Genomic DNA, 14,998 nt, shown 5'->3' with positions numbered 1-14,998 from the left:
TTTCATAATAAGCCAAGTGAGGTTGATCCTGCCATCAGGACCTTCCAGTGACTCCCATCTCTCTGATATTTTCCCCTACTATTTCCAGTGCCCCACGCTGTCTCACCTTGGATTCTACTTCAGCCACTTGAGTCTGCTTGCTGTTTCTCAAACAGAAAAAATATGCTGACACCTCAGGGCCTTAATGCTTGGTTCCTTCTTTGTGCATGAGGAAGGCACTTTAGAATTGTGAGGCTTGGAGGGGCATTCGTCATCTGAATATTCTATTCATTAACATAAGTACAATCATGTCATTCCCTTTAAAAAATTCTTTTAATTAATTAATTAATTAATTAATTATTTTTTGGAGGCAGAGTCTTGCTCTGTCACCAAGGCTGGAATACAGTGGCACAGTCCTAGCTCACTGCAGCCTCAAACGCCTGGGCTGAAGTGATCCTCCCTCCTCAGCCTCCTCAAGTAGCTGGGACCACAAGCACATGCCACCATGCTTGGCTGACCTTTTTTTGATTTTTTTTTTTTTTGTAGAGATGAGGTATCGCTGTGTTGCTCAGGCTGGTCTCAAACCCCTGACCTCAAGTGATCCTCCTACCTTGGCCTCCCAAAGTGCTGGGATTACAGGTGTGAGCCATGGTGCCCGGCCTAAAATCTTTTAACTGTTGCTCATTGAGCAGGAAGTCTAGACTCCCTGAGCTGTCTGGGAAACCCTCTTTCTCCTCACTCTCTGCCTCACACTTCATCTTCCAGCAGTACCAGTGGTAGTACCAAGGTTGACTGACGGAGGAGGCTTCCATTCCTCTACTCTCGATCAACTTCCACTCCCTGCAAGCAAGCTCAAATGAACAGAATAAACATGTAAAAACTCTGTGCTTTCTATAAACCAAGCTTCAAGACAAATCTCCAATCCAAGCCTTCCAGACTGGGTACCTAAACCCCTTTGACACAGAATGACAGAATTATTTGACAGTATGATTTGCAGTCTCCTGCTCACAGGAGTCTCTCTGCATTTGTTCATATTTCCCCTCTGCCAAGCAGGCCCTCTCTTCTTTATTCCCCTTCTCTCTCCCCCATCAGCTGCCTCGCTGACTGTATAAGCCTCTCAGCTTGTGCTTAGCCTTCTTTGACCCATTCTTCCCACCCGCCCCTACATGCCACCTTAGAGGCCTTTTTCTGTGTACCTCTACAGGACACATTTTACAATGTGTAGAAATGATGTTTATGTGCCAGTGTCTCCCAAAGAGTAAGAGCTTGTTGTAGGCTAGGGACATACCAGATTTACCTGTGAATGATGGATTAGAAAAACATTGCTTGGAATGTAGTTTTTAATAAATATGTGTTAAAGAATAAATGAAGGACAAAAACCATGCTTTGGGGAAGGTTATTCAGAAGTCTGAGTGTAAAGTAATTTGAAAAATTTTAACTTTTTAAAAGTGTGCAGAGAAAGGTTCAGAGAAGACGTGGGAGGGTAATTTCATTAGCCCAGGCAGTACGCAATGGAGACCCAAACTAGAGAAGTGGCAACTCATACACTACAGGTTTCAACTCCCTCATCTGTAAAAGAGGAGTTTTAACAGCATGTACATCATAAGATTATCATGAGAATATGTTGTATTGATAACACATATTAATTATTATTATTTTAAAAATAATAGCAGCAATGCTGTATGGTGGTGAGAGGCATAGCTCTGGGCCATGCTGCTGGGATTGACTCCCAGATCCCACACTTACTTGCTGATTGAACCCCAGCAAGTTTCCTAACCACTTTGTGCCTCCGTTTTTACAGATTTAAAAATGGATGTAACAACACCTATTGCATAAGGTTGTTAAAAGATTTCTATGAATTGATGCATGTGCAGTGTTTAAATCTGGAATGTAGTAATTTATTTTAAAAAGTTGGTTTAGGCAGGGTGCGGTGGCTCACACCTGTAGTCCCAGCACTTTGGGAGGCCGAAGCGGGGGGATCACCTGAGGTCGGGAATTCGAGACCAGTCTGACTAACATGGAGACACCCCATCTCTACTAAAAATACAAAATTAGCCAGGCGTGGTGGCGCATGCCTGTACTCCCAGCTACTTGGGAGGCTGAGGCAGGAGAATCACTTGAACCTGGGAGGCAGAGGTTGCGGTGAGCCAAGATCGCATCATTGCCCTTCAGCCTGGGCAACAAGAGTGAAACTCTGTCTCAATAAATAAACAAATAAAATAAAAAAAAAAATAAAATGTTGTTTTAAACCACAAACACATACACACACAAGAATGGAAAGAAAACTTGTTGAGGTAGAATCAACATGACTTTATAAACTAAATGAATATGCATGTGGGTGTGTGTGTTTGCTGATGTGGGAGGTGGAGTGAGGTAGGAGAAAGCATTTGAGATAGATTTGGTTTGGAAACTAAATGATCCTACAGATGATGATACTTTGAACCAAGACTAGGAGCCAAGGAGCTAGAACCATTTAGGAAGTTGGGCCAATAATTAATTCAATTTTCTATCTTATCAGTTTGAAATGCTGATGGGCATCTATGTACTAATGGTAAGGAAAGAGGTTGAGATTTCTGACCTAGAATTAATGATTTAAGGATCATTAACACATGTGTCAAAAATAATAACTGATATTAGTTGAAAGCTATGATCACTGTGCTAAACATTGCATATACATTGTCTCACTGAATCCTGTCAGCATCCCTAGGAGGTATTAGCTACATTTCACAGATGGGGAAAACTGAGGCACAGACCGATTAAGTAACTTGCCTTAGGTTACCTGATTAGGTGGTCAGGAAGGGTTTGACTGCAGGCAGTTTTATTCTGGAGCATGTGCTCCTTATTCTTTTTTGTTCTGTCTCCAAAGAAAAAGTTGAAGTCATGAGGTTGGCCAAAAGAACCTGGCAAGAAAGAGGATGTGTCTCATAGAGGCATGTTTTAGGCTAACCGTCAACACTTTTTGCTTGACTTTCTCATTACCAATAGGTTACTCTTTGTAAAACAAATGGTAAGGGTTCCAAAGATGCTATGTCAGTGAATGAATGATTAGATGTTAGAGGTTCAGGCTTTGTGGCCATAAAGTAGAGGAAGACTAATGATATAGTTTGGATGTCTGTCCCCTCCAAATCTCCTGTTGAAATGTAATCCCCAAGGTGGGAGGTGTTTGGATCATGGGGGCCGATTCTTTGAGAGTGGCTTTGTGCCATCCTTGGGGTAATAAGTAAGTTCTCACTCTGAGTTCATCCAAGATCTGGTTGTTTAAAAGAGAGTGGCACCTCTTACTTCTCGCTCTTGCTCCCACTCTCGCCATGTGATGTGCTGGCTCACCCTTCACCTTCTGCCATGATTGTAAGCTTCCTGAGGCCTCACCAGAAGCAGGTGCCAGCACTATGCTTCATGTATAGTCTGCAGAAATGTGAGCCAAAATTAAACCTCTTTTCTTTACAAATTACCCAGTGACAGGTATTTACAGCAATGCAGAAATGGGCTAATACAACTAACTGGCTCAGGATAAGGTTTAGCCTCCAACCCTGTCCTCCAGCAAGGCACTCTAACCCACAGTTTGTGAAGAAAACTAGATGAGGGATAAGTAGGATTGGAAAAGATACTGTCAAAGGGCACCTAACAGAATCACCTGGGGTGATCCATCATTCAAAGACAAACTCCCATTTCCAGCCCTGACCTATTATAGAGTGTTGGGGTCAGCCTGGCATGCTGTGCTTTTAACAAGATATCTTGACTATATTGACCACCCAAGTTGGCTTGGGAATGAAATGTATTTTTGTCATATAAAGTACAGCCTTAGAGAAATGATACTGGTTTTCTGTATGAGTCCTAAACCATCTATGAAGGTGATTTTAAAAGAGGAATTCCCAGAATGTCTAGAGCAATCTCAGGATCACTAAAGTAATTACATAGCTTCCCCAAGTGACTATTTTGAAGGGAAATACTTATTTGGATTTGCAGTTTCTAGTGTGTTTAATAAATACCACTTTCATTACCAAAATAATTCACTTCACAAATGCGTTTTTTTTTTTTTCTGGATAAAAAGAAAATGTAACGGAACGGAGCATTCATCCAACATTATTACTACGGATTCTCCACTTCATTGTTATTCTCCGTGTTTGGAGAGGAACTGGTCAACTGGGTCATTTTCTGAGCTTGATGGGCCATCATCACCCCTGCTTATGTTTGAATTGCTCACAGCACTTTGACCTTTACAGAGAAAAGCTCCACCTGGATGCAAAGCATTGTTATTGTGTAGTGGAGCCCTTGTACAATTGTGGGGAGGATCCAACTAACACCTGTGTTACAGTCTGGCTGCCGTTAGAACTCTAGAGAATGTTTCTCAGAATCATGGTTTCACTGATGGAGAATCTGAATCCAGACAATGATGACCATTTTTGCACCAGAGATCTTCTGAATTTTTATATCTCAGCCTGGTCTGGTGTTGGTGGCTAGAAAATAGCATCCTGGGCTGATGTATTGGTCCTTGGTACAATTCATGGCTATCCACATTATATTAGATTTCATAGATACTGTTGGAAATATCTAGCACATGTGCTTTATCCCACAATAATTACATAGAAAATTAAAAAGAATTAATTCTAATGTAACCATCTTTTTACTTGACTTTTTTTTTTTTTTTGCTCTGCTCACAGGTCTAATTGTTGTTATTCTCACTTTATTTTTCTATAAGGTAGGAATAATATCCACTTCATTAGCTCATCATGAGGGATAAGTAGGATTGGAAAAGATACTTTCAAAGGGCACCTAACTGTGAAGAAGATGCCTTCATTTGCATTTCTTTCTTGGCACATTTCTTGTTATCCAGTCATTCATTAGGACTCCATGTTTATTGAACACCTACTCTGTGCCAGGCACTTTTCTCTGTTCTGGAAATATCACCATGTAAAAACAAATAGCTGAAGAATGCCCTGCCCTCATAGAGCTTACAGACATAGAAGACGAGACAGTAAACAAAATAAATGAGTAAATTATGAAGTGTATTAGAAGGTGTTAAGGGCTATGGGGGAAAAGAATAAAGCAGGAAAGTAGGTGAGGACTGGGCTGCGGGCAAGGTGATGTTTCTGTTTTAAATCAGGTGACATAGGTAGTCCTCCCTAAGAGGGTGCTACTTTAACAAAGTCTTGAGGGAGCTGAGGAAAACCATGGCAACATATATCAAATCACATTCCATGGGATGTTAGTCCTGAGAAATGCTGAGTTAAAAGTGGTTTCACTGTTCAATCGCTTTGGAAATAATAAGTTTTGGAAACTTAGAATGATTGTAGGCACATTAAATAATTTGAAAAAGCCTGCTGGAAAGGAACCTGTTTAACTCAAAACATAATGAGCAGTATTTCCCTCCCTCCCTTCCACCCTCCTTTTCTTCCTGTTTTCCTTCCTAATCTGATAGAGCAGCTAGACCGTTTCTCTGTAGCAACCTTCAAATGTGGATACACTCCTACTTGCCCATCATCAGTGGAGCTTCTGAGGGGCTCCAGGAAAAGAGCATCGATTCTGGAATCCCGGATCTCAGTATGAGACTGGAATGTGCCACTTTGTCCCTGAGCAAGCTAAGCTTTCTTTTTGGCTTTATCATCTATAAATTGGGCATAATAATAATGCCAGCTATGCAGGCTTGTTGTAAAGAGTAAATAAAATCAGGTGTTAAAGCACTTTCTAAATGGTAAAATACCATAAATATGAGTGTTTTATGATGTACTTTTTCACTTGCTTTTTGGTACTCAGAGAGTCAATTCACTGTGATGACTCTGTCTAGGGTTCATTTATAAAGAGCTTGCTGATGGAGGGTTGAAGGAGAAGGGATAAGCTTTATGGGTCTGTGAAAGTGTAAAGAACTTTCATGTTCTGGACAAGAATCCAACACTTCAGCCTTATTTGCATCAGGCTCCAGTCCATGAAATTAACTGGCCACAGGCCCATTTCCCTACATTTGCCAGTGACTCTCAAACTTTGAAGCACACTAGAATCACTTGGGGATTGTAAAGCAATACTATTGCCTGGTTCCCACCCTCAGATGTTTGACTAATTGCTATGGGGTGTGACTGGGGCATTAGGATTTTAAAAAGCTTTCCAAGTGATTCCAATGTGTGGCAAAGTTTAGGAACCATGGTCATAAACTAATCCCTGAGATCATCTTTTTTTTTTTTTTTTTAAGCAGCCTGGCCAAAAGAAATACTTACAAATTGATCATGGTTGCAAATCGATGAACTTGATTCTTTTCTTATGGGAAGGTAAGCAGTTAGGAAGAAAGAAAGGAAGAGAGGGAGGAGAATTGCTTTTATCAGCTGCCTACTTTGACAAGGGATTATGCCATCACATGCATTATCTCATTTAACTTTCCCAATAACCCCGATACTTAAATATTATAAAATTTCCATTTTGAAAGTGAAATACACAATCAATGAGAGCTTAGGAAAATTCCTCAGGAATTTGAAAACAGGACATTCGGTTGTGCAGCCCTCCTTTACATTTACAGTGGCTTCTCCTGCTGTCATTTTCTTTTTCTTAGCTTTCTGGCAAAGCCTGGTATTGAGCATTTACATATCAGTGTCAAATGAAGTCAGTGTTATTTTCTTGCCCGGAAAGTCAGCCTTTGAGTTTTAAGTCTGATTGGGAAATGACAGACTTTATTCCCTACAAGAACTGTACACATAAGAGTAAACAGTAAATTTAGGAGTTTTATAATAGAGAGGTGCCTTTTTTTTAATTTTTAGAGGGGGTGGAGTGCAGTGGTGAGATCACAGCTCACTGCAGCCTCATCCTCATGGGTTGAAGGAGAAGGGATAAGCTTCATGGGTCTGTGAAAGTGTAAAGAACTGTCATGTTCTGGATAGGAATCCAAAACTTCAGCCCTATTCGCAATCCTGATCCTCCCACCTCAGCCTCCTGAGTAGCTGGGACTACAGGTGCACATCACGACACCCAGCTAATTTTTAAAATTTTTGTAGAGATGGGGTTTTGCCATGTTGCCCAGGCTGGAGAGGTGCCTTCTAAGCAAAGCATCTGTATGTAGCCTACAGCCTAGCAGTAAGGCTAGCCCAGCTTTTTTCCATTTTCCAATTCATCTTAAGCATTTTCAGAGAATTGGAACAGATGCAGGCAAATGTTCTCCTTGATCATTGTTTATTCATTTAGTATTTATGGAGCATCTACTGTGTGCTAGGCACTAGGAATAAAAAAATAACTAAAACATCTTTTACACAAAAGGCAGCAAAGACAGTCATATTAATAATAATTAAAGCATAAATACAATGATATCAGTTTGTGGATGGAAGTAGAGACAAAGGAGAGATTAACCTCAGTGGGCTGTCATGGGGAGGACAGTGGGAGGAGTCATCCTGGAGGAAGTTAATCAAGGAAATGGCTTTTTAAACATGTGATTGGGTTCAGTCAATCCACCCCTTTGGCGACTCGTAAACACCAGTGCTCTAAGGATCGTTACCTGAGGATTGTTGGAGGATGATAGGGCAGTTACTAAGAGGAAATCCAGGTTCTGGGAAGTTGAATGACTTGCCCAGGGTCGCAAAAGCAGTAAGAGGCAGAAATGAGACTCACACTCAACTGTTCTAAGTTTAGTGTTCTTTCCATGACGCTGAGTTTCCTCTGCTGGTTCAGCAACTGGCAGGTCCACATAGCTGAGAACGTAGTTGGTAGCTTGTGGCATCAGGTGACATCTTGATTATTTTTTCCAGTTGAACCTGGTTGCCAAGGAAAACTCTTTCTCCCTTCTAAAACCAGGCAGTGAATGCGCTATCTCAAATGGAAAATTGAGTCTTGAAATGCAAGAACTCCAGAAAACCCACAATGTAAAATAAAATTCTGAGGTGGATAGGTTTTTTCAGAAATGTATGGTACAAATACAGTTGTATAAATATTTAAAGTCACCAACACTATTTTTCCTTGGGTGTTATATAATTTCATGTTTTAAAAGTAAGAACTTATTCAAATAAATGCAGCTTTATTTAAGACTCTCCTAAGTCATTTACATTTATAATTTTTCACACTTTTATTACCAGCTTAAGCCATCACTAATTTACTGATGATTCCCAAATAAATTTCTTCAGCCATAAATGTCTTCTTTAAAAAAATGTGTTTTAAAATGTGGACACAGAGTCTTGCAATGTTGCCCAGGCTGGCATGCACTGGCTATTTACAGGTGTGATCAAGGTGCACTGTAGCTTCAAACTCCTGGGCCCCAACCTTCCTCCCAAGTAGCTGGGACTACAGGCATGTGCCACCATGCTTCATAAATCTCTTCTAAATCTTTCCCAAGACCTGTGGAATCTGGATGTTCCAGAGGCCTTTAAATCTAACATTTTAAACCAAATTCATTATTTTCTTACCAAAACCTTTATTTGTACCTGTTTAATATCCTACCATTTTAATTCAGTTGCCCAAGCCAGACATTTAAGTCTGTTGATTTCAGTTTCCTGCCAAATATCCCTCCAGTTCCTCCTCCCTCCCCACTGCCAAGGTCCGGCCTCAGTCCCCCATTCTTTGCCACCTCAACAAGTGCAGTGGACTCCTAACTGCGCTTTCTGAAACAATGCATATTTTTCTACACTAATCCACCTTGCTTAGCACACAGAGACTTGCCCAACTGGCTTAAACAAAAGCAGAAACCTCATTTTAAATCAATATTCAAATCTTTCTAAAAGGCTGGTTCATTTTCCCATGTCAGTTAAGTAAAATACCTTGAAAATAAATGTCTTTGATGACTGAGGCTTTTATTGTGTCTCAAGGCCATCATTCTGAATACTGGTGATTATTATACACTATCTGTGTTGTGGCCATCATGACATTTGGCTTAAATGAATGTGTTATTCTTTATAAGTTCAGTTTTTAAATAAATGATTCTTACATCAGTGGTTCTTAACCTTTCTGGAGTCATGCACCCTTCTGAGAATGTGACAAAAGTTATGGATCTTTTCTTGAGAACAATACACACACATACACACACACACTCACAGACACACACTTTGCCTACAACTTCAAGAGTTTCTTAATTCATCCATGGATCCCTAGAGCTATAATGAAACCTGGTTAAGGAATTTGCCTTATATAAAACTGTTTTCATGTCAGAGGCTTGATATACATTTCTATTTTAAATAAATGTTTGAATGAATTTGGTCTTTGGTGAGATGTGATTGGCTGCCTACTTTCCCAGAGTTTGTACCATGTCTTTTGAGAATGGTCTGTGGAGAGGGCAGTTTATTTGTATAGCCAACTCAATTCTGCTCTTCACTAGCTACAGGACCTTGTGAAATCCTATAACTAGCAAGATGTGCAGAAATCAGCTCAGATTCTCAGCCAGGGGACCTGACATCTTGTCTCCACATGCTCTGCTAACTTGGTAAACTTTTTAGAAATACAACTCAGATGTAAGATAAGGCACATCTGACATGATAATATTTTGTTGTATTGGTAGAGTCTGTCTCATTTCCACTACTTCATTTTATCCCAACAAAAACCTGATGAGAAAGTCAATGAGTTGTAATTATTCAACACATGAGGACAAATAAGGAAAAGAACACAGGCTTACTCAGTTAAACAGGAAACATGCAAAAAGTCTCATTCTGATTCTATACCCCAAGTCTCTGTAGACCTCTGTTCTTCATGATTTAATTCAAGCTACACGTGAGTTGAAGACATCAAGGCAAAATAGGTTGGATCCATTCATATCAAATTAGGTCTATACGATTTGATAGTGTTAGAAAGAAAGTTTTAGGCACACATGAATAATGACTAATAACATTTTGGCTGATATGGTAGGCTACTGGTAAACATGGTTGTTGATAATTTCATCTTGGGGTCTGGGTGCAGTGGCTCATGCCTGTAATCCCAGCAACTCTGGAGGTGAAGACAGGAGGATTGCCTGAGGCCAGGAGTTTGAGACCAGCCTGGACAACATAGCGAGGCCTCATCTCTACAAAAAAGTTTAAAAAAATAGCTGGGCATGGTGGCACGTACCTGTAGTCCTAGCTGCTCCAGAGTCTGAGGCAGGAGGATTGCTTGAGCCCAGGAGTTTGAGGTTACAGTGAGCTATGGTCAGGCCACTGCACTCCAGCCTGGAATACAGAGCCAGATCCTGTCTCAGATAATAATATTTTATTATTAATAAAAAATATAATAATAAATAATTTTATCTCATTAAAAAAGGGCAGTTTTGTAAAGTGTAGGGTTTTTATATGTGTGTGTGTGTTTTTTTTTTTGAGACAGGGGTCTCACTCTGTCACCTCAGCTGGAGTGCAGTGGTGCGATCACCGCTTACTGTAGCCTTGACTTCGGGGCTCAAGCAATCCTCTTGCCTCAGCCTTCTGAGTAGCTGGGACAACAGGCACATGCCACCATGCCCTGCTGATTTTTTCTATTTCTTGCAGAGAAGGGGTCTCATTACATTGCCTAGGCTGGTCTCAAAATCCTGGGTTGAAGCGATCCTCCCGCCTTGGCCTCCTGAAGTGCTGGGATTACAGGTGTGAGCCACCGGAAACCGTAGGTTTGAACATATTTTTGCATGGATTTTTTTTTTCCTGAGCTGCCTTTAACTCTACACAGGAATTAGAGACATAAACTTGTCTAACTTTACCTGAGCTCTCCAGCATTTTTTTCGCATCCTTCAAAAAAACAAGTCTCACTCCAGGCTGAGTGTTCTTGCTTTTTCTCCTCTCTCACATCCTGTGTCATACTTGTAAGCTTGGAGCTGGAGGGACCTTGGAGACTGGTTCAACCCTTCCTTGTGCAATTAGGGAACTGAGGCCCAGAATGGTTAAATAATTTGCCAGAGGTCACACAGCGAGCACTAGCAGCAGCTCCAAGATGAGATCACATATCTCCTGCCTACGGGTTCTTATTTGTTTTCCTTTCCTTTTAAATGGAAATTTTAATATCTTGACATCAAAAATTCAAAATATAGCAGAGAAAGACTCATAAGAGCTATAAAGTCATAATAATTAAGTTTACAGTAGCTTTTCAAGTACTACAATTATATACCTGCTCACCCACCTCACTCCCCATATGAAGTTCTACCTTATCATAGAATGCTTCCCTAAATTGTTTTCTAGGGACTGTCTAAAATATGGAGAAATTAGCTTGTCATTTCTTCAGCTGAAAGGATAACACTTTTGCTACATAAAACTTTTAATTTCTGTCAAATTGAAAAGTGGCATTCTAGGTCTCCATAAGGCAATTTTATGTCAATTAATGCATCAGAAGGTATTTAATGAGAGCCAGTGTTGTACTTAGCACTATGTTAGGTAAACCCGAAGAGAAAGCGGAAAAATGCATATTTGTTCAGAAAGGAATTGGGAAGTGAAGAGGGAGTTGAAAGCTTCGACACTGGGATCGCAGTGTGAGTCAACAGAGTGTATGAGATGAACAGTGGGTGACCAGCCTGACTGAACCATGGCTCAGTGATGCCAGTAGTTGGAAATAAGTTTGAATAGGTAGGTAGGTAGGTAAGCAGAGAGCTTGATGGCGAACACTCAGGACACTTTAATTTGAACCCCATCTGTGTAATTTTGAGCAAATTACTCAACTTCTCTGTGCCTCAGTTTCCTTGGCACAGAAATGGGGATAATAATACTTCCATTCCCATATTGTTGAGGAGGTTTAATTAGATTTACAAGGTCTAAGCATGAGTAAAGTTTAGGGCATTGCCTTCTATATCTTCCGTCTACCTTAGTAAGCATTTTTATGCCCTTTGGTTTGGTTGGGAAGTGAAACTGAACATGCTCCAACAATATTAACTATTATATTTTGGATGAAGCCGGAAAATAAAGACTTGAAAGTAGTCTGCAGAGTTTGAACTTGAATAAGCAACAGAGAGCGGTTCCTAGGCAGAGTTGGATTTAGAGAATCTAGGCTTAGAAAGGATCTATTCAAACTCCAGAGTTCTTGGGTACGCTGCCTCTACTCTTTGCTAGTTGCTCAAACATCTCACTCCTGGGGTAAGAAACCACTCAGCTGCCTGAACTGGCATGTGGAGTGGTGACAAACAGCATGGAAGACATTTGTCTGAAAAGAACAAAACAAAATTGGATTTCAGAGGATTAAAGTTAGTCAAATTGTTATGGTTCTTTCGCTTTGTGGTGAGTCTTTAAAGGTCCAATTCCAAGGTTAATAAGTAAAAAAGCTGGAGAACCAGGATGGTAGATTGAATATTAACGAGTACCTCTTGGATAGTTACTGGAAAGTTACCAATAACGCCTATAGTAATCCCTCCTTGAGTTCTCAATAGGCCTTTGCCCTCTTTGGAAACATCTATGCCTCTGGTAACATCTAAGCACCCGACAAGACTGCACCAATTCATCCTTCTGGCATGCCAAAGGGACAGATAAGCAAAGTGAGCCAGAGAAGCTATGTCCAATTTTCAAGGTGGAGAGACATAGGCCAAGTTTTGGGATCTGGCCATCAGTCAATAGTCCTCAGACCCTCTTAGTCTAGTTTCTCCAATTCAGATCATCTGGTCTCTGCATAATTACAATATCTTCCCTGTGGAATTTGCGAATGATTCTTGGACTGTGACTCTAAAGGGAAAAGATCTAGTAAGTTACTTGCTGTTTTCATTAAACTTATCCGACCTCTCAAATAGGTAAACTATTTTTAAACCTTCGAGCAGCTGCAGATTATTATGGATGAATTCAAAAGTTTTTCTCTCAATCGGCTGTGCTTTTCAGATTCAAAACTCTCCTTGTGCTTAATTTTTTGCAACCTCGGCCTCTGCTGTCATCTTTTAGGAATTTGGAATTAGTAGGAACAGTGACTCCACCAATACATGATGGTGACAAAGGCCAACTACAGGCTCGGTGAAAATAAAAATTCCTAAACAAATGTTGTTACTCCAAATGGATAATTATTGATAAAGCAGAGCAAAGCATTTGCCAAACCTGGTGCTAGATACTTATTTATCAGGAATATGCCACATGTTGGGTAATATACACAACATTATGATTAAGAGAAGCTACATAAAAGGTACCAGACAATGTACAAATAACACAAATATTAGAAAAAGAAGTAATCTGTGCTTTACCTGCCATGTGGCCACACCGGCTAAAAATGCATTCTCATATTTGCAGAAGTAAACGTTAAGGATTGTTCTTGAGACCACTCCTACTGATTCTGAGCATAATTATAAAAATAACAGATACAGTGCATAATTAGCAATAACATCTTTGTATTAAAAAAAAGTTTTCCTGCTGTTGTAGAATGAGTTAAATAAAATCTAGTTATCCTTCTTGCCCTTCCAGACTCCCCTGGTGGGCCAGATGCCCGGAGCCCCCCAAATTTTATGATGTGTCAGTCGAGTTTCTCAACTAGGGGTTTGGGCTTCTCTCTGGGTCCCTTTCTCTCTATTTGTCTCTCGCTCTTTCTTCCCTGACCCCTCCCCATTTTTAAAAGGCTTTAAAGAACATCTCTGGGAGACAAAAATAGCTCCAGTTGTGAGAGGCCTACACACCGGGAATGCAACTGAGAGATGCAAGTCAGCAAGTGCGAGCCGCGAACATGAGTGTCTGGCCCTGGGTGGATGCTCCTCGCTGTCTTGGTGCCGATTCTCTGCCTGGGCCCGGTGGGTAGAAGGGAAAATGGTTTTTCAGGGTTGGGAGGTGGGTTGGGTAGGTTTGGGATCCCTAGCCGTAGGAATGGAAACCCCAGCATTCGGGCTGAGGGGGCTCTTCCTTCCCCTCCCCCCACGTTTTTCAAATTTATTTTGCCCAGGCGGGGATTGGTGACGGTCAAAAGGGAGCAGTTGGCACTGAATGTCACCCTGAAGGTAAAATGAAAGACAAAAGATGAACGCATGCTTGCTTTCCGTTTGCAGCGGCTGCGGCGGCGGCAGGAGCAGCAGGATTTAAAGGGGAAAAAAATCACACGCATATGCACACATATATACACACCCAGAGGCGTCAATTATGCAAACGCAATAATGCAATCAAATCATGACAGTGCCGGGAATTTTTTTTAGAAAAATATAGATATTTATTTTTAAAAAGAGAAACGCATGCAAACAGAATCGTGCACATACCACGTAACCACCCGAGGAGAACCTGGCAGCCTCTCTCTTCTTCTGCCAAGTTATCATTGAGAAAACAGACAGGCATCATGACGTCCTGGGTCACAGGGAGTGCGGACCGACGCTACCAAGAGAAAAGGGAGGCGCCTTGGCGCTCCGGCTAGCCGTGGGCGCCCCTCTGCCCCTCGCAGCCCGGCTCGGTGAGTGCACAGCCGCTCGGGACGCGGACCCCGGGTGCCAGGCCGGCCCCGCGCCCGCGGGGGCAGAGCGGGGGGCCGTGCCCTTGCCACCGGAGGGCCGGCCAGCACCCCCTCGCCTGCCGAGGTCGCGGGAGCCCAGTTAAAGGAGGCGTGTGTAAGATGTGCAATGTTCCTGCATGGGGGTTTTGTAGACTTTCATAGCCAAAGAAACCGGCTTCGGCTTCTTTAAAATCCCCGACGACTCACCTGATTAACCTGCTGCAGTTCTGACCCTGCCAAGGTAACTGGTCCAAATCCTTATCATCAACATCTGGAGACAGACATTTGCATCTGGGGCATTCTTTATTTGCAGTCCTGGTTGAAATCTAGATTGCTACCCCCTTCCCCCTTCACTTGCTTATAGTCTCTTGGAAAAAAAAAAAAAAAGCAACCCCTCCCTGAATAACACAACCATAAGTACTGCCCACCTCTTGTAGACTTGCCTTACCATGACTGCAAAACTGTGAGCGTGTGTGCTGGAGACACAGATGAATTCTAATTGCAATTAGATTTGTTCTTTAAACACCCCTCCCATCCCCCTTCCTGGATAGAGACTTCAGTGCTTGGTAAAGTGGCAAAGAGTGAGGGCAGAGTTAGGGCGCTGGGAGGGGAGGGGTTAGGGTGAGGGGATATGGAGCAGGGGTCGTTGGGGGAGAGGGTGGTGCCAGGAGTTGAGGACTGCTGTCATGGGCTGGAAAATCCTTCTGGTGATTGCTGCTGCTGTAGTCCTAGGTGTCTCCCT

The 14,998-nt window shown here is 41.7% G+C and overlaps 1 protein-coding gene across 13 annotated transcripts in view, besides 1 other annotated feature; it reads left to right on the top strand.

Moving 5' to 3' along the window:
- ESRRG (estrogen related receptor gamma) overlaps nt 1–14,998 on the top strand; it is a 634,457-nt gene that overhangs the window by 33,699 nt on the left and 585,760 nt on the right. For 6 of the 13 annotated variants that reach the window (XM_047449371.1, XM_017000622.2, NM_001243506.2 and 3 more), the window contains exon 1: nt 14,386–14,497. The exons of 5 other annotated variants lie outside the window; for them this stretch is intronic. The gene's annotated coding sequence lies outside the window, so the exon portion shown is untranslated. Of the gene's footprint in view, nt 1–13,435; nt 13,574–14,179; nt 14,218–14,385; nt 14,498–14,998 lie in introns of those variants that run through there. 2 more of the 13 variants (NM_001350122.2, NM_001243505.2) reach the window with 2 other exon arrangements.
- Nucleotides 14,410–14,610: a silencer, noted in NCBI's record as "peak697 fragment used in MPRA reporter construct". NCBI's record gives its function as "represses an SCP1 promoter by STARR-seq MPRAs in K562 erythroleukemia cells {active_cell/tissue: K562}" and the evidence as "EXISTENCE:reporter gene assay evidence [ECO:0000049][PMID:32103011]".

The sequence above is a fragment of the Homo sapiens genome, chromosome 1, assembly GCF_000001405.40.
Source record: "Homo sapiens chromosome 1, GRCh38.p14 Primary Assembly".
NCBI classification, from domain to species: Eukaryota; Metazoa; Chordata; class Mammalia; order Primates; family Hominidae; genus Homo; species Homo sapiens.
This window is presented reverse-complemented; position numbering and strand designations above follow the sequence as displayed.